We start from the raw sequence: 26,662 nt of genomic DNA, 5'->3' as shown, positions 1-26,662 counted from the left end.
CTTCCTACATAGTTTTATATTTTACATGTACGTCCATGATGCCACAAAGTATTGTTTGTATATTATGTGAGGTAGCTATCAAAATTCATCTTACCCATACGCATGTACAGTTACTCTCGTGCGGTACACTTGTTAAAATTTGTTAAAAATATTGTTTTTCCCATTGAATTGTTTGGTAACTTAGTCAAAGTTCTTGGTCTACAAATATAAATGTAGATATATTTCTGGAATATATTGCTTTCCAATATCAAGCTGCATTGATTAATGGAGTTTTATAGTAAGACACAAAAACAGTTTGAGTCTCCCAAAATAGCTCTTTTTCAAAATTGTCTTGGATAGCCTAGGTGATTTGAATTTCCAGATATTTTTAAATTAAGCTATTAATGTCGACAAAAACATGTATCAGTATTTTTATTAAAGTTGTCCTAAATCTATAGATAATTCCAAGTGAACTCCTACATTTAAAATATTGGGTCTTCCAGTAGTACACACAGTAAATCTCTTCATTTATGTGGTCTTACTTGATTTCTGTCATCATTATTTTTAAAATTTTAGTGTAAAGCATTTTTAATTACATTTATTTCAATTTTTATGGTTTTTAATGCTATTGTAAATGGTATTTTTAATATTTTCCAGTTGTTCATTGAGCTGCATCTCATTGTATAATGTTTGAGTGGTTGTTCTAAGAGTGATGATATGCATCTTTAATTTAACCCAATATATTTAGAGTTAATAATGAATTATTTCAGATAAAATAGAGGACTGTAAACAATATGCTCCATGCCTAACCCCAATGCTTATAACTATTATCATATATTAAATTTTAAAATTTCATAAAAACAAAAAAGTTATATTTTGCTTTAAATAGGCATTTTTCTTCCATAAATTTATAAAATAACTCTATGTATATTTGTATGTGTTTATATCTATTCACATATTTACTATTTCTAGTGCTTTTCATTTCCTCCTGTACATCTGAGTTGCTCTCTGTTAACATTTCCCTTCAGACATAAGATTTTTCTTTAATTTAAGGTAGGGAATATCTGCTGACAGCTGGTCATGTCAGTTTTGTTTATTTGAAAATATTTTACCTTGCTTTTTAAAGGATAGTTTTTATGTATGTAAAATTTTTGACTGTTTATTTCATTGCTTTAAATGTGTTATTCCAATGTTCTCTGATCTTCATAATTATTAATATTGGCTATTAATCATAGTGTTGTTCCTTAAAGCAATATATATTTTTTTCAGAGTATTCCAGGTTTTTTCTTTATCTTCAGACTTTAGTGTTTTGGTTTTGACTTGATGCAAAAGTATTTTCTTAGAGTTTATCCTACTTGATGTTTGTTGAGCTTCTTTAACTTGCATGTTAATGTTTTTCAAACACAATTGGAATATATTTAGCTATTATTTCTGCTAAGATTCTTCTTTAATATTTTCTCCATTTGACCCCGCAATCCTATTACTGGGCATATGCCCAAAGGAATATAAATCTCTCTATTATAAAGACACATGCAAACGTATGTTTAGTGCAGCACTATTCACAATAGCAAAGATTTAATTCACAAAAAATTAAATCTTTGGCCATCAGTGATAGACTGGCCATCTATCAATGGCCACCAGCGATAGACTGGATAAAGAAAACGTAATACAGATACACCATGGAATACTATGCAGCCCTAATAAAAAATGAGATCATGTCCTTTACAGGGCTATAGATGGAGCTGGAGGCCATTATCCTTAGCAAACTAACACAGAAACAGAACACTAAATACACACATGTTCTCACTCCTAAGTGGGAGCTAAATGATGAGAACATATGGATATATCGAGGGGAGCAACAGACACTGGGGCCTTTCGGAGGCTGAAGGGTGAGAGCAGGGAGAGGATCAGGAAAAATAACTAATGGGTACTAGGCTTAATACCTGAGTGATGAAATAATCTGTACAACAAACCCCCATGACACAAGTTTCCCTATGTAACAAACCTGCACTTGTACTCTTGAACTTAAAATAAAGTTTGAAAAAAATATATATTTTCCCTATTATTCCAATAATGAAAATGTTACTAGTTTTTATTCAAGTTCACTAGTCCTTTTCTTCTGATAGACACAATGTGTTAACAAACGCATTCAGTAAATAATTAATTTTGGCTACTTAGTTTTTAGCTGTAAAATGTTTATTAAGTTAGCTTTAATTGTTAGAATACTTACATGTTTACACACTGATACAAAACCATATTTTTCTTCACATATTTTTAGTAATTTTTGTAGTTATTTGTTGCTTCAATCTGATCTCTGATCTCAATGACACTCATTTTTTTTTATTGACTGAATTCTTTTTTTCCTGGAAATGTGTCACACTGTTCAGAATCTTTTTGTGTCTAATACTTTGGGTTGAAAATTAAACTGGACATTACATAAAATAAATCATGGTGCCTCTGAATTCTGTTAGCTTCTTCTGAAGATTCTTGTTGCTTTTGTTTTAATAGAGTTAATGTTACAAAACTTAAACTGCAAATTTTGTCTCCCCCATTATTGCACTTGATGATGTCTCTGTTCTGTTCATGTAGCTTCCAACTGCTCCTTATTTTCCTGCCAATCTCTAAGATCCTCACGTGGACCTGAATTATTTGACGATTGGCCAAGAATTTGATTTTTAAAATACCTATTCAGAGTTGCTCCCCTTCTCTGTGGTTCCCATGCTTCTAGAGAATCCAGGTTATCTCAAACTGTGTCCTCTGATACTTTAAGCCCATAAAGCTTCAGCTTTCTATCTTGACTATTTAAGTTTTATATATATATATATATATAAAATTAGCACTCAGCAACTTAATCATTATGTCCATTGTTATGATTTTATTTGTGTTTCTCCTCCTTCAGATCTGTTGGTCTACGTGGATACATGGCTTCATATATTTTTAGAAATTTTAAGCCATTTTGAATGCTTCTTTTCCATTTTCTTCCATTTCCTTCTGCTACTCCAATTACACTTTTGTTACAATTCTCGATGTTGCCCCAGAGTTTACTGAGGGTCTGTTCATTTATTTCAGTCATTTTTCTCTTTGCATTTTATTTGGTTTCAACTGAAATATCTTTATTTTTTTCCTATAATATCCAATTTTTTTAAGCTTACCTTGTGATTTTTCATTTTACATATATTTATCAACTTTAGATATTTCCCCCTTGGTCTTTAAATTTTTTTGTTTTTACTTTTCATTGTATTTATGTTTCCTTTAAGTCCTTGCACATATTTATAATGTGTGCTTTAAGGCCTCATCTACTAATCTTATCATCTCTAATATTTCTTGCTTTGTTGCTACTGACTGATTCGTGCTGGATATTGTTGTATTTCTTTAACCAATGTGGATTTTTTAAGAAAGCAGGTAATTTACTGGTTTTAAGTTTTGCTAGCATGTCTACGTGTTTCACGGGGTCTTATGTCTCCAAATATCATAGACAAGTAAAATAAACTTATATTTCTCTAAAATTGTTTTCATCTTATATATCTATGGTGTTTGATATTAAGCCAATATTTTCCCACCAAACAACTTTACTTCAGGGTAGTTTATTTCTACTCTAAGGTTTTGGGCTTTCTGGGTTCTTTAAAGAATGCTCCAGGTATTCACAATGGTTCTTCCTTTTTGTGTAATCAGAACTTGGGTGCTTCCCAAATGTTTGTGAACTCTGGGAGTTGTTCGACTCATAAGTATTGTTCTATCACCAATGATTTTTCCTTGCACAGTCTCCTACATTCTAATCCTGCACATTTAGAGACTGATATTTAGCAATAATAGACTGAGGGAGACTCTATGTAGGTTCTTGAGTACTCTTCACTTTGATAATTTGCCCTACATATGTCAACCACTTTAGCCTCTCCAAATTCATTCCTTTGTGTCATCTCAATAAGACTACTAAACTGTGCCTCTTTTATGCTACAGCTGGGGAAATGACTTTTGGTAGAAAACTGGAGCAATCATTTAACTCACTTGAGCTTCTCTTTTACTCAGAGATCAGAATTCTGTCCAATGTCTGAAGACACTTATTTCATACATTTTGTCCAGTTCTCTATTTTTGCTTTAAGAGACTCAGTCCAGTAGCAGTTACTCTATCTTGACTAAAGGTAGAATCATCAACGCATTTTTTTTTTTTTTAGACAGAGTTTTCCTTTTGTTGCCCAGGCTGGATTGCAATGGTGTGATCTTGGCTCACTGAAACCTCTGCATCCCGAGTTCAAGTGATTTTCCTGCCTCAGCCTCCCAAGTACTGGGATTACAGGCACCTGCCACCACGCACAGCTAATTTTTTTGTATTTTTAGTAAAGACAGGGTTTCACCGTGTTGGCCAAACTGGTCTCGAACTCCTGACCTCAGGTGATCCTCCTGCCTCCGCCTCCTAAAGTGCTAGGATTACAGGCATGAGCCACCGCAGCTGGCACATTTTTTTAAAAGGTTGTGTATTCCTGATTACTGCAGAGTTTAAACAATTGGCACAGGGACCATATTCCTTTTACTCTAGATATTCTGTAGAATTCAAGAGTTCTTAGCAAAACAGAAAATGATCAAAAACTAAGATCCTCTGCCTCTCACTTATACTTCCAGAAAACAGCTAGGTAAGCACAACTGGTTAGTTTTTTTAATGGTAGGCAGTCAGTTTACATCAATATTCAGAAATTAAGAAAAAAAGTCAATGTTAACATTTGTTTTTGTAACCAAGTAGTCCATTTATTTAATCAATGTCTTTAGATTTTCAGTTTATTACTTATAAACTTATAAAAGATTAAAATGTTCAAGTAATTTTCTTTCAAATGCAATCACTAGAGGTGATATTTTAAGTGTCCATCAGATTGGATAGAGTGATAGATACTTAAAAAGGATGTTTTTATTGTCTCTTGGAGAAATGTAATTTATCCATGTTTTTCTTTTATTTAAGGGTCATTCAACTTGACACTTACTATTAGTAACAAATAAGACAATTTGTTAAAAATTTTATTTCATAAGATCTTACATCTTCAGATATTATATGCAAGTAAAATAAACTTATCTTTCCCTAAAATTGTTGTTTTTTCTTATATCTCCATGGTGTTTGATATTAAGCCAAGATTTTCCAATCAAACAAGGGGAGCTATCTTGCAAACTAAAGTGTTCTGTAATAATATACACTTGGATAGATGTCACTGAAAATATATATATATTCTAACATTCTGAGAAAGGTTCAAGTTTTGACTTTGCACTTGAATTGTTGTATGATATCAGGTTAATCACTTAATCTTTATAGGGTCACCTTTTCCATTTTTGAAATAAACACCTCACAAGATGAATTGAAGATAAAGTAATATAATAAAGAAAACCGTAAAGTGATATATAATAGGAGGAATCATCATCTGTCTTATTTTGAGTTTCCCAAAAGAAGACCCTGAGATAACTATGTCCTCATGACTTTCCAGAACAATCTAGTAAGGTAATAGGAGATTAGGACAGAGCAGAAGAGGATGCGAAGCAATTGAGCGATTTCAAGGAAGAATGCTTGAGGGAAGCCCCTGGGGAAAGCTCTTGTGTAGCTTATTATTGGAATTTGTGTACTTGTGGCCAAGGAGCTAGGCGTTGAAACTCCTACAATAGAGAGTCATTGGCTAAGAACAGTCACAGGCAGATAAAGACTGTCTAATACTTTTGAGTATCTGCACCTTCCAAGCAAGTGCTGTGATAATGCAACAGTCATCCTCAAAGTTAGTCACAGGTGCTCACTGTTAGAAACGAATCACACAGAAGACAGAGCAGAGCACGCAGGGCCTGCATGAAGGATCCAAGGAGAGCTTGGTAGAGTATTGATGATATCTGTTACATCACATTTTGTCCTTTGTCTTATTCAATATCAACTTCATTGTCTTTTTGATGTCATCATGTAGTCAAAATCTTTGTAGCATCTTTGGCTTTTAAATTCCATTTACATTTGTTTTGTGTTTTGATAATACAGAATAAAGTTTTGAGTCTTATTTGTGGATATGTGGAATATGAGAATCAGAAGGCTAACTGCTTACATTAAATAAACATAAGTTTGTGGATATTCCAAACATTCAAGCATGTCTCTTAACAATCAGCCCATGGCATTCAGTCTTTTTCCTAATTCAGTCATTTTTATCTATTTAGTTATTTTTATATCTCCTAAATAAGAATAGGATCTTCTCATTTGCTTCCAAACTAGACATCATAGCTCTTTCTTAAAACATTCTACTGTCCATAAGCTTGGTGTATATGTGTATGTGTGCTTATTTTTCAGTTCTCCAAGAGATTTTCCTAGACATATATAAAGAATATTATTTCCATATATATGTGCATGTGCATTTATATATATACATGTATGCATTGTATGTACGTATGTTTATATATACACATGTATACATTGTATATACATATAAATATAATCTTAGTCCATCCAGGCTGATATAACAAAATACTTTAGACTGGGTAATTTATAAATTATAGAAATTTATTTCTCACAGTTTTGGAGTCTGGGAAGTTCACTGTCAAGTTATGAGTAGATTAGCTGTCTGGTGAAGGCTCATACTATGCTTCATAGATGGTGACTCTTACTGTGTTCTCACGTGGGAAAAGGGGCAAACAGCTCTCTTGCATCTCTTTTATAAGTTGACTAATCCCAATCATGAAGGCTGTGCTCTCATAACTTAATCACCCTCCAATGGCCCCACTGCTTAATACTATCATGTTGACAATTAAGACACCTGTAATCCCAGATACTGAGGGGTCTGAGGTGGGAGGATTGCTTGAGCCCAGGAGTTCAAGGCTGCAGTGAGCTACATTGGCACCATGGCACTCCAGCCTAGAGACAGTGAGACGGTGTCTCTAAAACATTAATTAATTAGATATTTCTAGAAATAGAATTAAGTAAAATTTCAGAGTTCTTGATTACATTTCATGTAACATATATTTGATATATGATGAGCTGATCACATTTGGATTGACTGTTCTACCATATCCAAAATGAAATAACTAAGGTTTGTATTTGATTATTTAATAAAGGTTATTGATAGTTTGTGAATTCTGTAAATTCTATTTGGGAATGTCATTTTTTTCATTAATTTTTCTTTTTCATATCCAACCTTGAAAGTCTATAGAAAGGAAAATATATTTGTTTTTCAATTATTCATTAAGTCTCTAGTTTATCAAGTATTGTTTATATGATGTGTCATATTCTAAGAAAGGGATTCAGCCATATTTAATAAAGAGAACGGTCACTGATTATTTAAATGTCATTTACAAGAGGCTAGTCTTTCTTCCCTCATGTGTCCATCAAGATATGTAAAATGCCACAAGGTCTCCCGTAAAAGTCCTATATTATTTTTCTTAAGCTGGCTGGTACGCATTCATGCACTGTCTTAGTCTATTCAGGCTGCTGTAACAAAATACCATAAACTGGGTGACTTATAAACAATGGTAATATATTGCCCACAGTTCCGGGGGCTGCAAAGTCCACGATCAAGTTTTCAGCAGATTCAGTGTCTGGTGAAGGTCCACTTTCTAGTGCCTTCTTGCCATGTCCTCACATGGTAGAACAGTCAATACGCTTTTAGGGTCTCTTCTATGAGAAAACAAATCCCATTCCTGAAGGCTCTACTTTAGTGACCTAATCACCTCTCAAAGGTTGTACCTCCTAAAACCATCACCTTGAGGGGTAGAACTTTCAACATGTGAACTTTGAGGTGGATACAAACATTCAGTTCATAAGATGTACTTTTTTGTCTTTGATGAAATTTCAGAAGTGCATGTTTGGGTTTTAACTTAAGAGAAGGGAGAGTCCCTCAAGTCTGGTGCATTTCAAATTTTAGCATTTAAGTTAAAGTATCTGCCACTCCACAGATTGTTGTAATCATTTTCATTGGCATTTGAGGTAAGAGTTTGGCAAGTAATTAAAAGTAGTTTGTATTTCATTTGCCATTATCTTTTATGTGTTTATCATTTGGGGAATCCTTTAAACAAACAGAGAATAAATAAAATTAGGATGCAACTATTTCTTTGTCCTATAACCATAATATCATTCATTAGCAACACAGGCCTACCCTAAGTATTATTAGTGAAGTTAGAATGATTTACTCAAAACCGAGCTAATTATACTCCGAATTTTTTGCCAGCCCATTCGAGGTTGCAAAACTTATCAAGATCAGGACATAATTGAATTACCCATAAAATACTCCATTTGTTAATTCTGATGTAGTTTCACTGTGTTTTTTAAACTGAAAGAGCAAATTATGACATATTTTAAAAGTTAATAGCTTTGACATCTAAATACTTAGTTTCAACCATTCTCTAGTGATATAACTTTGGCCAGTTTTCTTAATATAACAGGGCTGTAAGATGTAGATAGATACAATTGCTAACAGGATTTTTGGGAGAGTGAAATGAAGTAACAAAGAAGTTTCTCTATAATCTAATGTGCATAGTAAGAATGTAATATAGTATTTGTATACAACAAAGTACTTCCATCTGGGCAGTGGGTCTCATATTGGCAGTACTAGAACTAAAAATTGGAAACAATGTTATCATTTTCCTCTTGCATTCATTTATATAATATTGAGTCTAGCAATTCTAACGCAAACTAGATTAGATTTTTTTAAAAAAGAAAAAATCTCCATTGCTTTTATAAGGAAATAAAGAAAAAGCTCATGGTGCATGTGGTGTGTGTGTGTGTGTGTGTGTGTATGTTTGTGTGTGTGTGTTTGAGAGAAAGAGAGAACAGTTGTCAATTAGGTCATTGAATTTCATATGATTTTATTTTTCATCCTAAGTCTGGCTGTTATTTCTACACTTCTGATAGAATAATAACTGAATTATCTCAAGAAATGTTGTTATTATATTTTTAAAACAGATGGAAATTGAATTAAGTAGAATGCTCAAGAGGCAATTTGTTCCAATAAGACTGAAGGTCAAGGTTCACACACTGAAAGATCAGGATAAGGTTTGTGCAAGCTTCTGGCCTTCTTAGAAACATGCATGCTCAAATCAGTTAAATATGTGTTTCATCAATCACTTACTTGTCACTTAGTTTAAAGAAAAACAATAATCTTAAATCTCATGATTTTAAATTGCTGTAGCCTGTTTATAGAAAACAAAAAAAGGAGTTGCAACTTTATATAAGTTGATGCGTCTTGTTGAACCAAATAATAATAGAAAGATTATTGAAGTAGAAAGCATAAAAAATTTTAAAAGACCAAAATCTACTGCTTACCAACTTTATGAACCTTGGATTTCTAGCACTCAGTTTCCCCATCTGTAAGATAAAATAAGTGGCCTCAGTTGTACTTAAATTACTTTCTAAATTTAATTTTCTACAAAGCAACAAGTCTAAAGCTATTTACATCTAATTGAAGTTTATTTATGTGATATTTAAGAGCAAAAAAAATACTCTCTGTTATTGTTCCTCATTGTCTGTCTTCAGCATTGCATCTCACAGGTTAAATCATCTTTCTATGCACTTTAATTTACATGAAATCAATGATTGCTATAAGAGATTAAAGCTAATTTGTAATCATTGTCATAATCAAAAGAGTATATCTTGAAACAATGAACATGGGAGAAGGGAGGACATTATATTTTGGAAGTATAAGCTTCCAGTTGGGAAGTATTCTGGCACATTTCAAAACTCACGTGGCTGCTTTAGGTCTTGATGGAGTAAATGATACTAAACTTGTCCTCTTGCCCAAAACAACTACAAAGCTAAAGAAAATAAATGCAATGAGAGTTTTCATATGTTGCTTAATATGATGGACAAGCTTATGATTTATGAGAAAATGGTCCTCATGATAGCCCCAACTTTGGTATGGAAGGAAATTTCTAGATTGTAGTACAACAGGTAAAGCACAAGCAGATTGTTACAGACCTAATGATGTGAGATGGAATGAACAGGGTGTAAGACTGCTGAGGTAGATGGAATTTGTAGGAAGGGGTAGCACCAAAAAGGGAGCTGCATAGAGAAGAAGTCCCAGAATGTGTAGTGGGCACCATAAATTCGAAACCATGAATGCAGAGGGTCAGACTCTACAAGACCTATCAGAGAACAAGTACCGGGAAGCTTTGAGATGACCAGAGGTTCAGAGGTCACACAATGTTAGAAAACAGGCATTCTGATCAACCGGAGTGGATGAATCTCATCTAATATTTTAGGTTTTTAAGTAATACACCAAAAGGGCCACAATTGAGGAAGGAGAATAATTTAACCCGGGAATAAGAACTTCTCTAGACCCACCTAAAAAAATGACTATAATCTATCTTCAGAGGTTAAAGCTCAGACATGAGGAAACAAATTGCCTGCCAGAAGAAAATTTTGCACTCTCTAAACGAAAACCACAAAATCCAGAATCTCAAAGATGATGGATTTTTATGTTCTTCTTGTCAAAAAATAAGTAGATATGTGAAGAAGTAGAAAACAATGGCGAAATGAGGAAAAATACACTCAGTAAGAACAAAACACGAGATGTTAGAGATGTTGAAATTAGAGTCAAGAACTTGGACATAGCTATTATACAGCCAATATAGAGATGCTTAAGGATTTGAAGGAAAAATGTATTTAATGAGCAAAGAGATGAGGAATATTGCTGAAAAAATTAAAACTTTCAAAAAAACTAGATGGGAATACTAGAATGGAAAAATATAAGATCTGAAATGAAAATGTAAAAGGATAGGTTTAATGGAATATTTCAGTTCAAAGAAGAAAAGGTCAATGAAATTGACTATATGTCAATCCAAACATAAGCTCAGAGAAAAAAAAAGTTTGAAAATAAGAAAATAAGACATAAGAGGCCAATATTTATATCTATATCACAAATACTATTGTTTACTACTTTATCATTATTATGAGGTAGATATTTGTGTAGTTCAAGCAGTTTTATACTTAAATCCTAGAAGGAGGATGTTTTCATAAAATATTTGAAAAAGCAAAATATTAAATAGTGCATCTTTGATTAAAAAATAATATCTAGAACAAAGAGGCATAATATAACACGAGCAAGAAACACACACACACACACACACACACACACAGAAACTAGAAAGACATATAATAATCAATTTTCTAAATTAATAATAAAAAGAAAATCTTAAACTATCACAGAGAATAAGAACATATTATATAAAGAGGAAAATGTAAAAGTAACAATAGAAGTATAATTAGAGACAATGCAAGGGCATAGGTAATGAATCAATATTTTTTAAATGTTGAAGGAAAAAGAATACCTTTTAAAATATACCTTACAAATATTGCCTTTAAGAAGATTGCTCAAAATATCGCTTTCCAAAACTGAAGGTTAAATGGAGATGTTTGCAGATAAACAAAAGCTGAGAGTTCTTTTTTTCCCCTCAATAGAACTGCAATATAAAATAAAGTAAAAGAATATTCTTTTCCAGGTAAGCAACAAGGAGGCAAGATGGGAAAATCTTTTAACATCAGAAGGGCATCAAAATAATATATATCTTATTCAATATAAAATGATTTTCTTTTTTACTTTTTGACATCTTTAAACAGATAATTAGTTGCATAAAGCATAGACTAATAATAAGGTATTGTGGGATTCATCACAAGTTCATGTATAAAGATAATAGCACAAAGGACACAAAGGGAGAAATGGAAGTATACTAATTTAAGATTCTAATATATTAATTGGTATAAATTTTTTAAAGTAGATTGTGATAATGTAAATACACACAATTATAAACCTACAGCAACCAGTGAAAATAATTAAACAAAGAGTTTATGTCAAGTTATGTATTTATTTATATTAAATAAACTAATAAAGTAAGTTAAAATTAAAGAAAACAATGTAATAGAAGGTAAGAAAATGAAGGAAAGAAAGAACAAATAGAAAAATGAGAAAAATGGCAAGATGGTAAACTTAAACCCAATAGTATCAATAATTACATTAAAAGTTAATGAATTAAAACACAAATTAAAAGGCAGACAATATCAGACATGATGATAAATATTCAACTACATGCATTCTACAAGAAGACACAAACTATAAATTCACAGGTAATTTAAAAGTAAAATGATACAAAACATGTATCATGCAAACATTAACTGTAAAAAATCTGGGATGGATATACTAATATCAGACAAAAGGGATTGCAGATCAAGGAATATTATCATAGATAAAGAAGGGTGTCTTATAACCTTATAAAAGCCAATTTATAAAGATGATATAAGAACACCTCAAACAAAGGATCTTCTATAAACATCAAACAACAATGGATAAAACTAAAGGGAGAAATAAACAATTGCACAATTGTATTCTCAGATTTTAAGACACCTTTAGCAATTGAGTGAATAGTAGGTTTAGAAATCATTAAACATAGGCCGGACACGGTGGCTCATGCCTATAATCCCAGCACTTTGGGAAGCCAAGGCGGGCAGATCACGAGGTCAAGAGATCGAAACCATCCTGGCCAAAATGATGAAAACCCGTGTCTACTAAAAATACAGAAATTAGCCGGACATGGTGGTGCACACCTGCAGTCCCAGCTGCTCCGGAGGCTGAGGCTGGAGAATGGCTTGAACCTGGGAGGTAGAGGTTGCATTGAGCCAAGATTGCACCACTGCATTCCAGCCTTGCAACAGAGTGAGACTCTGTCTCAAAAAAAAAAAAATACATATATATATATATATATAATAAAGAATATTTAAATAATACCAAAAAACATGTTTATCTACTTGATAATGAATGTTACCTAATAATTACAGAATACACATTTTTTAATATATTATTTATTTCAATAGGTTTTTAGGGAGCAGGTGGTGTTCAGTTACATGAATAAGTTCTTTAGCGGTGATTTCTAAGCTTTTGGTGCACCAGTCACCCAAGCAGTGTACACTGTACCCAATGTGTAGTCTTTTATCCCTCACCTCCCTCTCACACTTTCCCCCGAGTCCCCAAAGTTTACAACAGTGTTCTCATGCCTTTGCATCCTCATAGCTTACCGCTCACTTATGAGTGAGAACATATAACGTTTGATTTTCCATTCCTGAGTTACTTAACTCAAAATAATGGTCTGCAATTTCATCCAGGTTGTTGTGAAGGTCATTATTTTGTTCCTTTTTATGGCTGAGTAGTTTTCCATGGTGTGTGTGTGTGTGTGTGTGTGTGTGTGTGTGTGTGTGTATAGATAGATAGATAGATGATAGATAGATAGATAGATAGATAGATAGATAGATAGATAGATATCACAATTTCTTTATTCAATTGTTGATTGATGGGCATTTGGGCTGGTTTCATATTTTTGCAATTGCAAATTGTGCTGCTGTAAGCATGCATGTGCAAGTATCATTTTTGTATAATGACTTATTTTTCTCTGGGTAGATACCCAGTAGTGGAATTGCTGGATCGTTTTCTATTTTAGTTCTTAAGGAATCTCCACACTGTTTTCCATAGTACTAATTTACATTCCCATCAGCAGTGTAAAAGTGTTCTCTTTTCACCGCATCCACACCGACGTCTTTGTATTATTATTTTTTTTTATTATGGCCATTCCTTTAAAAGTAAGATGGTATCACCCTGTGCTTTCCATTTGCATTTCCCTGATCATTAGTGATACTGAGCATTTGTTCATATGTTTGTTGGTCATTTCTATGTCTGTTCTTGAGAATCGTCTATTCATGTCCTTAGCCTACTTTTTTAAGGGATTTTTTTTTTCTCGTTGATTTGTTTGAGTTCTTTGTAGATTCTTAATATTAGTCCTTGGTCAGCTGTATAGGTTTTGAAGATTTTCTCCCACTCTGCGGGTTGTCTGTTAACTCTGCTGATTATTTCTTTTGCTGTGCAGAAACTTTTTTGTTTAATTAAGTCCCATATATTCACCATTTCTATTCAACATAGCACTGGAAGTCCTAGCCAGAGCAACCAGACAAGAGAAAGAAATAAAGGGCATCCAAATCACTAGAGAGGAAGTCAAATTTTCGCTGTTTGCTGGTGATATGATTGTATACCTAGAAAACCCTAAAGACCCACCTAAAAAGCTCCTAAAACTGGTAAATGAATTCAGCAAACTTTCAGGATAGAAAATTAATGTACATAAATCAGTGACTCTACTGTACACCAACAGTGACCAAGCTGAGAATCAAATCAAGAACTCAACCCCTTTTACAGTAGCTACCAAAAAAAATACTTATAAATATACCTAACCAAGGAGGTGACCTCTACAAGGAAAGCTGCAAAACACTTCTAAAAGAAATCATAGACAACACAAACAAATGGAAACATATCCCATACTCATGGATGGGTAGAATCAGTATTGTGAAAATGACTATATTGCCAAAGGCAATCTACAAATTCAATGCAATTCGCATCAAAATACCACAATCATTCTCCACAGAACTAGAAAATACAATCCTAAAATTCATATGGAACCAAAAAACAGCCTGCATAGCCAAAGAAAGACTAAGTAAAAAAGACCAAATCTGGAGACATCATATTACCCAATTTCAAACTATCCTAAAAGGCCATCATCACCGAAACAGCATGGTGCTGATATAAAAATAGGCATATAGATCAATGGAACAGAATAGAGAACCCAGAAACAAAGCCAAATACGTACAGCCAACTGATCTTTGGCAAAGCAAACAAAAACATGAAGGGGGGAAAGGACACCCTATTCAACGAACGGTGCTGGGATAATTGGCAAGCCACATGTAGAAGAATGAAACTGGATCTTCATCTCTCACCTTATTCCGAAATCAATTCAAGATGAATGAAAGACTTAAATCTAAGACCTGAAGCCATAAAATTTCTAGAAGATAACATCGGAAAAACTCTTTTAGATATTGGCTTAGGCAAAGACTTCATGACCAAGAACCCAGAAGCAAATGCCACAAAAACAAAGTTAAACAGATAAGGCTTAGTTAAACAATTACTTCTTTATATCCATGTGAAACACTTAAGTAAAGAAACCATTTGCTGACTCATTAAACATCTCAATATATTTTAAATGGCTGAAATTGTTCAAAGCATGCTCGGTGATAACAATGGAATTAATGAGAAATCAATAACAAAAATGTACCTAGAGAATCCTACAGAGATGGCAATCAAACACACAGTTATAGATAACTCTTGGTCAAAAAAGAAAGCACATAGGAATTTGAAAAATATTTTAAACTGAATGGGAATAAAAAGACAACATACAAAATTTTGAGGTGCAGATAGTGCAGAGCTTAGAATAAAAGTTGTAGCTTTAAATTCTAGTCATAGAAAAGAAGAAATATTTCAAATTATCTAAGCATCCAATATAAGAAACTAGAGGAAAAAACCCAGCAAATTTATACAAAAGTAAATAGAATACAAGAAATTAAAAGACATAAAAGTGAATATTAATTAAGCACAGAGATATAAAAAATGAAAAAAATGAATAAAATGTAAACTGCTTTTCGAATAGTTCGATAAAACAAGAAAAAAAGGCTAATTACACTGATCAAGAACAAAACAGAAAACACACACATTTTCAAATATTCAACAGAAATCAGAATAGTTCCCACACATTTTAAAAGTAAAATAAGGAAATACTATGAATAACGTTATGCCAAAAAATCTGGCAACTTACCTGAAATGGACACACTACTTAGGGGAGATACCCTAAGTTAGGGTATCTAAGTTACCAAAGTTGACACACACACAAAAATGAAAATTTTAATTTCATAATTTAAAATTATCTTAAAAAATTACATGACCCTCATGACTTTGTGGGTAAACTCTCTCAAATATTTAAGGAAAAAATATTATTCTTACATACATTCTTTGAGCAAATGAAGGAAGAAATTACCTTTTCCATCTCTCATGTGAGTCCAGCATAATGATCATACCAAAAGCACACAGGACATTCTAAAAACAAAAACAGAACTATAAGTCAATGTCACCCAAAGCAAAGATGCAAAAATACTCAACAAAATACCAGCAAACCAAACTTAGCAATATATAAAAGCAATGTTACAGCATGACAAAATATGGTTTACCTAGAAACTCAAGGTTTGGATTAACATTTGGAAATTGATTACTATAATTTACCATATTAATAGAACATAGAAAATCACATAATTTTCCCAAAAGATGCAGAATATGGTTTGATAAAAATCAATGTTCATTCGTGAGAAAAACTCTGAGCAAATTAAACACAGAAAAAAATTATTTTAAATTAATAAAGAATATTTACAAAAATACTGAGACTAAAACAATTAGTGAGAAAAAATTACTTTTTCCCTAAAACTAGAATAATGCAAACTTTTCCATTATTATTTCTTCAATTCAATTTTGTACTAGAGCTCCTAGCCTGGGAAAAAGGTAAGAAAAATAAATAATTATATTGCAACTTCTCTTTTGATTTAAGATAATGTAACAAGTACTGGATTTACCCTCCTGACTAAAAGAACAAAAACAAACAAATGAACCAAAAATACTAGAAACAGTGTTTTTTTAGACATGAGGCAAAAAAAAAAAAAAAAAGAGTAATTTCCAAGATATGGGAAATAAAGTAGTTGAGCCCTAGAGTTGAAACATTTCATTGGCTTGGGAATTTCCAGGACATGACACAAAAAGAGGGAAAACAAGTGGAGCCTAGTGGACTCAGAACTGAGAAGAGCTGGAAGAGTTCAAGTAGAACGCAATACTTGACACATTAGCACAGAGGAAACAGCTGTATTGAAATGGAGTTCTGAAAATTTGCAGAGAGTTGCTCTGGAGTATTTAGAAGAGTGCTATCAGAGCTCTTACCTAAGGAAACTACCTGCAGCCACAGAAGCAAGCATAACACCTGCTCCCAGCCGCCAGATTGGAAAACCTGAAGATCACAGAACTTTAGGTGAATGACTTGAAACGATACATCAAAGAAGAGATATAGATAGGAAGTAAACACAAGAAAAGATTCTTAATGTCATAAGTTGTTAAGAAATTACAAATTAAAATCATAATGTGATAGCACTACACCTTACAAAGACTGGCCATACCAGTGGTAGTAAAAATGTGAAATTCTTGTATACTGTTGGATATCACATAAAATGGTGCAACTGCCTTAGAAAATGGTTTGGCAGTTTCTTAAAAAATGTTAGACATATGCCAACCATGTGATCCAGGTGTTTTACTCCTAATTGTTTACCCAAAAGAACACAAAGCATTTGTCCATCAAAGACTTGACTACACATGTCTCCAGCAGCTTTATTTGTAACAGGCAACCTGAATGTTCATCAAAAGGTGAATGGATAAACAAAATGTGATTTATTTATACAATGGGATACTATCCAACAATAAAATAAGTGAGTAAAACACTCATCAAAAATACTATTGATACACACAACAACATAAGTGAATCTCAAGGTTACACTGAGTAAAATAAATCAGACAAAAAATATTTACCACTTAATTCAATTTTTGTCAATTTTAATAAAATGCAAACTAATCCATAGTGATAGCATGTAGATCATTAGTTGTCTCTGGACAAGTAGGTAGGCCTCCAGAGGGGCAGAAGCAAGAGAATAGAATACAGTATGAGGAAATGTTGGGGGACAATGAGCATTTCACTGTTTTGGCTGTGGTGATATTTCATGGGTATAAACACACATAAAAACAGGGTATAATAAAAGAGAAAATCTTTGCAATTTTGATATAGGCAGACCTTTCTTAGAACACACAGTAATGTAGTAAAGAACTAATAGTAAATAGTAATAATATTAAATTGGACTTCATCTAAAGATACTGTTAATTTTTTTAAATTAACAGTATTTTTAAAAAGTAAATTAAAAAAGTTTAACAGTAAATTTTTCTAATTTTTTTTAAAACCTAGATACTTGGGGAAATATTGTAATTATATATATTTGACAATGGAATTTTATGGAGAAGGTAATAGAAACATTTTTACCACTCAGTAATAAGAATAAACAACCTCACATATGTGGGAAAATGATATAGTCATAAACTTTACAAAAGAAAATAATATAATGATGGATAAGCACATGAACAATTTTTTGTCATTCATTATTAGGGAAATTAATTTTAAAATTACAGCAAAGTACCATCACATCCCTAGAACAACTAAAGTTTAAAAGTCTGTCAATTCCAAGTGTTGATTATGATGTGCAACGTTTAGACATGTTATATAAAGTTAATATGATTAAAAATGATACTATGAATAACATTTCACTAATTTCTCATATTTACCATATGACTCAACCATTGCAGACCTAGGTATTTACCCACAACAAATATAAATATATGTCCACACACAAAAATTGCAAAATATTTATAACCACTTTATTCAAAATAGCCACAAAGTGGAAATAACACAGTGTCTATCACTCATGAATGTATAATCAAATTATAGTATATTCATGCAATGATACACAACTAACCTATAAAACAAATTACCCAAAATTACAACAACATGAATTTGTCATCCAAATATGCCAGGCATAAAAGTGTACATTCTCTATTATTCCATTTTTATAGAATTATGAAAATGTCAAAATTAATTGTGATAGAAATAATAGCACAGTTTACCTGGAGTTAATCATGGGACAAGTTGACTGAAAAGGAATGAAGGAATATTTTGGCTGTAATTAAAGCATCTTATTGGCTTGGCAGGGTGGTCTTACAGGGTAAAATTTAATCAGACTCTTCAGAATGTACTTTTAAAATAGACACTTTTATTACATGTAAATTTTATATTTATGTCTCTATGAAGTTGATGTAAAATCACATATATATAGATGTGCATATGTGTGTATGTGTGTATATATATTATATATACATAGATTATATATATATAGAGAGAGAGAGAGAGAGAGAGAGAGAGAAAATTCATGTATTAATGCCAAGTGACATGAAAAGGTATCTCATTCTGCAATTTTGAAAAGCTTGCAATTTTGAAAAGCATACGTATATTTGAAACTTTCTATACATGACTTTGTAAATGTTTACAGGGGTTCGTTACCACCCACAGAACCCCAACTTCTTACCACCACTGCTACATTTAATCCTTCCCAGTAGAGTCAAATAGCAGAGATATGGAGAGCAATATAACAAACTATATAACACACTGTGTAATTGAAATGGACCATAATCACTAATATTAAAGACAGTGAATCATTCTAATAGAGCTGTGTTCAGCAAACAATGAAAAATTATGTGCCAGAAAAGCTAATGCTGGTTTTAAAATGAACAGAAATGAAGCGAAATGGAACGTCACTTGTTATTCATGAAGGTCAATTTAACGTGATTATTTTTTCCCAGCATCACAGCTTTGTGATTACTGTTATATACCTGAGTGCTATTTTACAACCTAATAAGAGTATAAAATAACCAGCTGGTGATGATCTTCTTTAGATCTGACGCTAAATGCTCCCCTAACCAGCACCAAGTGAAACATGCTACTGGTTGCAATGCAAACAAGTTCCAATGTATCAAGAAAAAGGGAGCATGAGGTATTCAACAATTAGATTTTATTTTAACAATTTCAAAAGATGAAAGTAGATAAGCATAGATTACTCTTAGGTGAAATATTACACCTTAAAACCAACAATCAATCACTTAAAATTACCTCTTATATAATATTTGCCTTTGATACAAATCTACTTTGCAGTCTCAAAGAGAGTATCCTGAAATTAGAGCCTTATTTGGCATACAACGAATGCTGACATTGCAACTTGCTGATTATTTCCAAAATGCTGTAAGATTTCACGTAGAGAAACCTATATAAAAGTTAATTAAAATATGTCTAAGCAATTTTATTACCAACACTAAGGAAACTCGTGTTTGAATGGCAAACATCTGGTTAAATAAAAATTTCTCTTAAATTTGGCTTTATCGGGGTCTCAGTAGACTCTATCAACAAATTTACTAGTTTTCCTATAAAATTTATCCTATTTTTTGCTTATCTCATTTTTAATGTTTGCTAAAATCCCAAAGAGACAAATTAGTAAGGTGGCAGAGCCTGGCTGAGTGCCTTCATTAGCTCAGCGCTAATAACTTCTTTCAGCACCACGGATAGCGCCTGACATCGCAACTCAAGCTTATCCAAAAGCTAATTATTTTCCCTGTTATAAAACAAAGGTTCTATATCAAAGGCCCATAATGCGACACAGTATACTCTCTAGATGCGCTGATTTGCAAAATAAATCAACTGTGTCAGGGAGGAATTTAAGCAGAAATTACAACAAATTGCAATTATACTTGCAATGGTGCACTATTTAAATGCATTGTCAGTTGTTCATGGTGAGATGGCATCCGTGCCATTCTGAGGATTGAGGGAAAAAGCTGAATTCTCATCTGTCACAGTAATAAAAATGTATTCCATTCTGTTGCTACAAGTTATAGATTCTATTATAGCTTATCTCATAAATATTTAAATGATATCATTGAGAAAAAAAGACCTGAGGACATCTGATAGATTATATTTAAAAATATTTTAATTATACACAGATGCACAAACACACATGAATATATTACATACATACATATTGGTTTTATGAAGTTATGCCTTTGTATATTTTTCCTTTGAATATATAAGTATTCTTAAATAATACATACATGTATATTTCAGCTCACTTACCAAATATGAGCAGTTCATTCCCAGAGGCCACAGAGTCTATCTTTCAGACTACACAACATCCTCAGAGATTCAGGAGAGAGTTTAAAAATAGACCAAAGTTTACTGAACTGAAAATTACACTCAGAGGTTAACTAGAACACAGAATTTCCCAATGGGCCCATGTCTACAATGTTTCAAACGGAAAGTAGACTTGAGGAAAAAAAGAATATTTCCACTTCTTCCTTTCTCAATGAAGAAACTGCTAATTTGGAGCAATCGTTTTGTACTTTAGTTCCTTGGGGTAAGCTATTTAGAAGTCTCTACAACTTCAACTCATAGTGAAAGGATGGGTGGAGGAGAAACAAGATGCCTATAAGGCCCCTCAAATAAACATGCAACCTAGGAAGTTCTGAGCCTGTATAGGTAACTAAAAAATCCCCCATACCTGACTAAACATGTTTCAGTTATTTAAAATATTTAATTTCCCTTTCTTCTGTTTTAGCTTTATCACATAATTCTCTTGCATATCCTCCTCTTGCACCATCTCACATACACACCTATCATTTTTGCTCCAGGATTTAAACAGAAAATAAATAAAGTTAATAAACTCTCATCTGTAATTATGTCCTGTTTCTTCTTTGAACTTAGCCCATGGAACTTCTTCCATATAAATATCAGCTGTTTGTTTTACTCACCACACACTCTCTCCCTTTCATTTCCCTTTGTTTGTTTCCTAGGTTTTTATCTCCAAATCTTTTGCTATGTTCCAAGCAGAAGTCTGACCCTTGAGTTTATTTACTATTCCAGGCTCATACACCTTATTGGGTTATTTTCTTTGCAGCAATCAGTCGTTAAATACAATCCAGTAAAGATACAGCAATGATTTTTGACAACCTGACCTTTCTCGGCTTTCTTACACTTGTTTAATTAGGTAATACAGGCAGCTGTGACTTGATCTTTACAGTTTTCCTCTGGAAAAAATAGAGGTATGTTGTTTAAAGAAGGTCAGATTTGGCAGGTTTTCTAGTTACTTCAGGAACTGACAATGGAGACTCAGAAGCCTGAGGGATTTAGAAATTCTATGCTAGTTTTCTTAAACATAATTTTAAAAATATGATTTGGAAAGACCACTTGACTCATGAACAAGTTAGGAGATGAAGAGCTTTTTTCCACCCTGCCAGGGTTGTGTTGTGACCCATCTCTCTGTTTATATGCCTATTGTTTTCTTTTCTGGTTAAGGAATATATTTTGAAATCATTTTTAAAGTTCCACTCTACTTCGTGTTTTAGAAAGACATGTTTGCTCCAAGTAGAATAATTCTATATCATGCCTCAAACAATATTGATGATCCAGGAAAATTAACCCAATTTGATTTAGTTCAATTCAGTAAGTATTTTTATTACATGTTTATCTTGTAATCAATCCAATGATAGAGTTATGAGTGATACAAAAAGTGATGGCTTCTGCTTTCCAGGAATGTAGTATTTTATTGTAATAATATGATACTGACATATGCCACATCTCAATAAAACTATAGGATAGTTCCTGATTATATTCCAAGAGAAGTAATCCTGTGATGCAATTTCAAAGAAGAAAGAATGCAACAGTAGATGAATTGTTCATGGAACAATAAATGAAAAAGCAGAAGTGCACTGTGTGAACTGAATGATGAATGTAATACGGCTAGATAGATGGGTGAGAGAAAGTAATTTCTGCCTGTATTAAAGACCTTGAAGGGGGACTTTACAGAGAGCTCACATGGCATAGCAGGAAAACATCCTTCCCTGGAAAGGAAGGTACATTTGAAAAGGTAGGGGGAAGAGAAGATCCAGTGAGTTTTGGAACAATTCACAACAGCTTTATCAAAAATTGGTTAACGCTGGGCACAGTGGCTCACATCTATAATCCCAGCTATTTGGGAGGCCGTGGCAGGAGGATCACTTAAGCCCAGGAGTTTGAAACCAGCCTGGGTGACATAGTGACACTCTATATCTACAAAAAATAAAAAAATTATACAGGAGTGGTGGCACATACCTGTAGTTCCAGCTACTCAGGAGATGGAGGCTGGAGGATTGCTTGAGCCCAGGAGGTTGAGGCTGCTGTGAGCTATGATTGCACCACTGAATTCCAGTCTAGGTGACAGAGTGACATCCTGTCTAAAAAGAATTAAAATTAAAAAAAAATGAGTTAAACTGTTGAAATATAAAAATGTCATGTAGATGTATCTTTTATTGCATCTTATTTTATTTTTCTTGCAATTACAAGAAAATGAAAACAACCCACGAATCCTTCAGTAATAATCTGCTTAAATACACCATGACCTTTCTATAATGGAATACTACAAAAAATGTACAAAAAGAATAAATAAAATCTCTTCATAGAAACTACAGAATATCTCCAACATATATTGTTAAGTAAGTGAGTAGAAGGGAGGTCCTGGTTAGTATTTCAAGTGAGCTACCTTCTATATGTTTAAGAGGGAAACACATAAATGTGTGCACATGTGCACAGGCACAGGTAAGCAAACACACACAGGGAGAGAAATAATAAAGGATAAAGCAAATCTAATAAAGATGCTTAAGCATAGGGTCAGGGAGGAAACAAAGTGGAGGAATGGACAAGGAATGAAATACTTTCTAAATAATAAAATACTTTTCTCAATTTGTAATCATGTAAATATTTTATGAATTCTCCTTTTCCTCAAAGACCTTAAGATGGAAAAAGATACAATAAACCAAGGGAAAAGGCAACCTACAGAATGAGAAAGAATATTTGTAAACCATGTATCTGATAAGCGGTTAATATCCAAAATGAATAACAAATATATATAAATCAACAGCAAAATAAATAAATAAATAATTTGAGTGAAAATGAACAAAGGACCTCACTGAACATTTCTCAGAAGATATAGACATAGTTAAGAGATAAAAGAAAAAATGCTCAACCTCACTAATAATCAGAGGAATACAGATCCAAACCACTTTGAAATACCGCCTCTTACCTTTTAGAATAGCTATTATTAAAAAGATAAGATAACAATTGTTAGAAAGGGTCTGGAGAAAAAGAAACCCTTGTACACTGTTGGTAGGAAGGAAAATTGGTACAGCCATTATGGAAACAGTATGGCGATTTCTAAAAAAATTAAAAATAAAACTGCTATATGATCCAGCAATCCGACTACTGAGTATATATCCAAAGGAACTGAAATCAGTACGTCAAAGAGATTTCTGCACTCCCATGTTTATTGCAGTATTATTCACTATAGTCAAGATATAGAATCAACCTATTGATCCCTCAAAAGATGAATAAAGACAATTTGATACACTACTTGAAAATATAACTATAATGTGACTATATATATAATTTGAAAATGTATATACTTAAATATATACACAATTTAAAATTGTATATATATATATATATATATATATATTTCAACCTTAAAAAAAGAAGGAAATCCTACTATTCATGGGAACATAAGTGAACCTGAAAAACATTATGCTAAGTGAAATAAGCCAGATAACATGGAGAACGACAAATATACTGCAGGGCCTCACTCATAAGTGGAATATAAAATAATCAAATTCACAGAAGCGCATTCTGGAATGGTGGTTGCTGGGGCAGGGACGGGGGAAGATGAGAAGATGCTAGTTAAAAGGTTAGGCAAGATGAGTGAATTCTGGATATACTGTTCAGCATGATGACTACAGTAAATTATACTCCACTGTGTACTTGAAATTTGCTAAAGGATACATCTTAATTGTTCACACACACAAAAAAATAAAATAGTTACTATGTGAGATGATTAAATATTAATTAGCTTGGTTGCAGTGATCATTTTACAATGTATAAATATATCAAAACATCCAGTTGTACATGTTAAAAATGTAAAATTCATATTTGTCAATTATACCTCAAAACAGAATGGAAAATCAAAGAAAATTTAATTTAAACAGGAAATAAATGAAAACATTTTTAACAAATGAATCAGACTGCTTATCAAGTTGGTGGCATTGCAACAGAGTAGCACCGAATTTTGACGTATTTGATCTCTGATGATATATATATAACTAATGACAATAAAAATTAATTAATCTTTAAACTACATTTGTTAGTCTTATTAGCAGTAATATTGATGATGCTTTCTTGAGGTGATTATATATCCATTATATATAGTATGTGTATGTATACCTATATACATATACACAGATATACATGCATATACATCTATATGCATGTATATGTAAATAATTAATATTGTATTTTTAATATTAGAAATCTAGAGAGCAAACATAATAGATACATGACAGGGGTTTAAAATCAAACAATTATGTTAAATGCTCAATTCTTAATTTTAATTGGAAATATATCAATTCATCATACTTTTTCTTAAAAAAATTTCTAGGTCTGTCTACTTATAACCCTAGGAACAATGGCAACAGAATAGAAAGAACCAACATAAGAAGAGAAAATAGATAGAGGAAGAAGTAAGGCAAATTTGGAAGGTGAAATATTAACCAAGACAAATAATCAATGGATGTTATTTTAAAAATAGAAACTTTTATCATAGAGTAAAAGAAATTTAAAAGACATAACAAATGGAATATGTAGAACTTATTTGTATTCTGAATCAAGCATGCCAACAATAAAACATATTTGCGCTTGTGTTGGGTATTAGATAATAAGAAATGATATTAAGAAGATACTTTGTCACTGTTAGTCCTTGTTATAATAGATAAACACAGCAAAGAATTTATAAGAGAAATTACTTGTTGTCTATGATTGGTTTAAAATGCTTTAGAAAAAAGTTGAGAATTTAGATGACACAAGATTAGCAAAATATTTATAATTATTGAAGGTGAATTATGAGTACCTTAAGTTTCATTATACTACTGTCTCTATTTTGTGTATATTTGAAAATTTCCACAATGAAAATAGAAAAGAGAAAAAAAAGGTAGTTAACTCTTGCCCTCAGTAGGGTCAATTTCAGATGACATGGGGAACATTTTATGAAGAGTGACAGTGTCCTTCAAAATATTTACTCAGGCCTTTAAAGTCATCGTCATGTATCAGATAACTCAATAAACTAATTTATTGTAAATTAAGTTATTAAGGCAGTTAATAATTCATTGGACAAATTTATTAAGAGTCTTCTGTGTAAGGTACTAATTATATATTGCTGAACAACACACTTTATTTGTGCTCATGGAACTTGCATCTAGTGGGAGTGAAAAAGACAGTAGAAACAAGCAAACAAATAAAATGATTATGAATTTTGATAATTACTGTGAATAAAACAAGTAAGGATCCAAGATAAACAGTATTGGAAAAGGAGAGTGGGATTTTAGGATTGTGAAGGAAGAGCCTCCATATTGAGTGATATTGAAGTTCTGAATTAAGGATATCAAGGAAATGTGAAAAAGAAAAAAAAATTTCTAAGCAAAGGGTTAACAGATACTGTGGTAGTCAGAAATCGAATAGTCTCCCAAGAATCCGGACCTCTGATACACATACACCTTCTCCTAGTTATTCAGTCAAATACCACTATAGGTACTATAGTGATGGGATTTTTCAGGTGTAATTAAGGTCCTAAATCAGTTGACCTTAAAATAGTGAGATTATCTAGATGGACCTGACATGGCTGGTGGCAGAAAAAGAAGTCAGTGATTCTGAGGCATAAGAATAATGTCATGCACTGTTGCTAGCTTAAAGATGGAGGTGGCTATGTGGCAAGACATGCAAGTGGCATCTGAAAGTTGAGAGCACACTTGGTTGGCGTCCAAGTACACTGGGACCTCAGTTCTACAAATACAAGGAACTGAACTCTGTGAACAACCAGAATGAGATTGGAAGAGAGTCTTTCTATCAGTGTGTGTGTGTGTGTGTGTGTGTTTCTATACAGATGTTACAGAATAAAACTCAGTTTGGAGAAACTTGATGTTAGCCTTGTGATATCCTAGGCAGAGAACTTAGCCACAATGTTTCAGATCATGGTGCATTGTATCTGATTTAAGTGAACATTCAGTGGAAAATGGAATGTTCTCACCTTTATAAAAGCTGGCTCATAAGAATGTGAATAGCACATTTGCAAAAGGAGATG

At 32.6% G+C, this 26,662-nt stretch overlaps 1 long non-coding RNA gene across 1 annotated transcript in view, besides 1 other annotated feature; it reads right to left on the bottom strand.

The window, feature by feature from the left end:
- LOC105376247 (uncharacterized) overlaps positions 1–22,718 on the bottom strand; it is a 109,985-nt gene extending 87,267 nt beyond the window's left edge. The window contains exons 1-3 of the long non-coding RNA XR_930293.3: positions 22,597–22,718; positions 15,811–15,869; positions 9,239–9,280 (exon numbers count right to left, since the gene is read on the bottom strand). This is a non-coding gene — a long non-coding RNA (uncharacterized LOC105376247). The remainder of the gene's footprint in view (positions 1–9,238; positions 9,281–15,810; positions 15,870–22,596) is intronic.
- Positions 19,930–20,130: a silencer, noted in NCBI's record as "peak7325 fragment used in MPRA reporter construct". NCBI's record gives its function as "represses an SCP1 promoter by STARR-seq MPRAs in K562 erythroleukemia cells {active_cell/tissue: K562}" and the evidence as "EXISTENCE:reporter gene assay evidence [ECO:0000049][PMID:32103011]".
- Positions 22,719–26,662: the final 3,944 nt, after the last annotated feature.

Source organism: Homo sapiens, chromosome 9 (genome assembly GCF_000001405.40).
Source record: "Homo sapiens chromosome 9, GRCh38.p14 Primary Assembly".
NCBI classification, from domain to species: Eukaryota; Metazoa; Chordata; class Mammalia; order Primates; family Hominidae; genus Homo; species Homo sapiens.
This window is presented reverse-complemented; position numbering and strand designations above follow the sequence as displayed.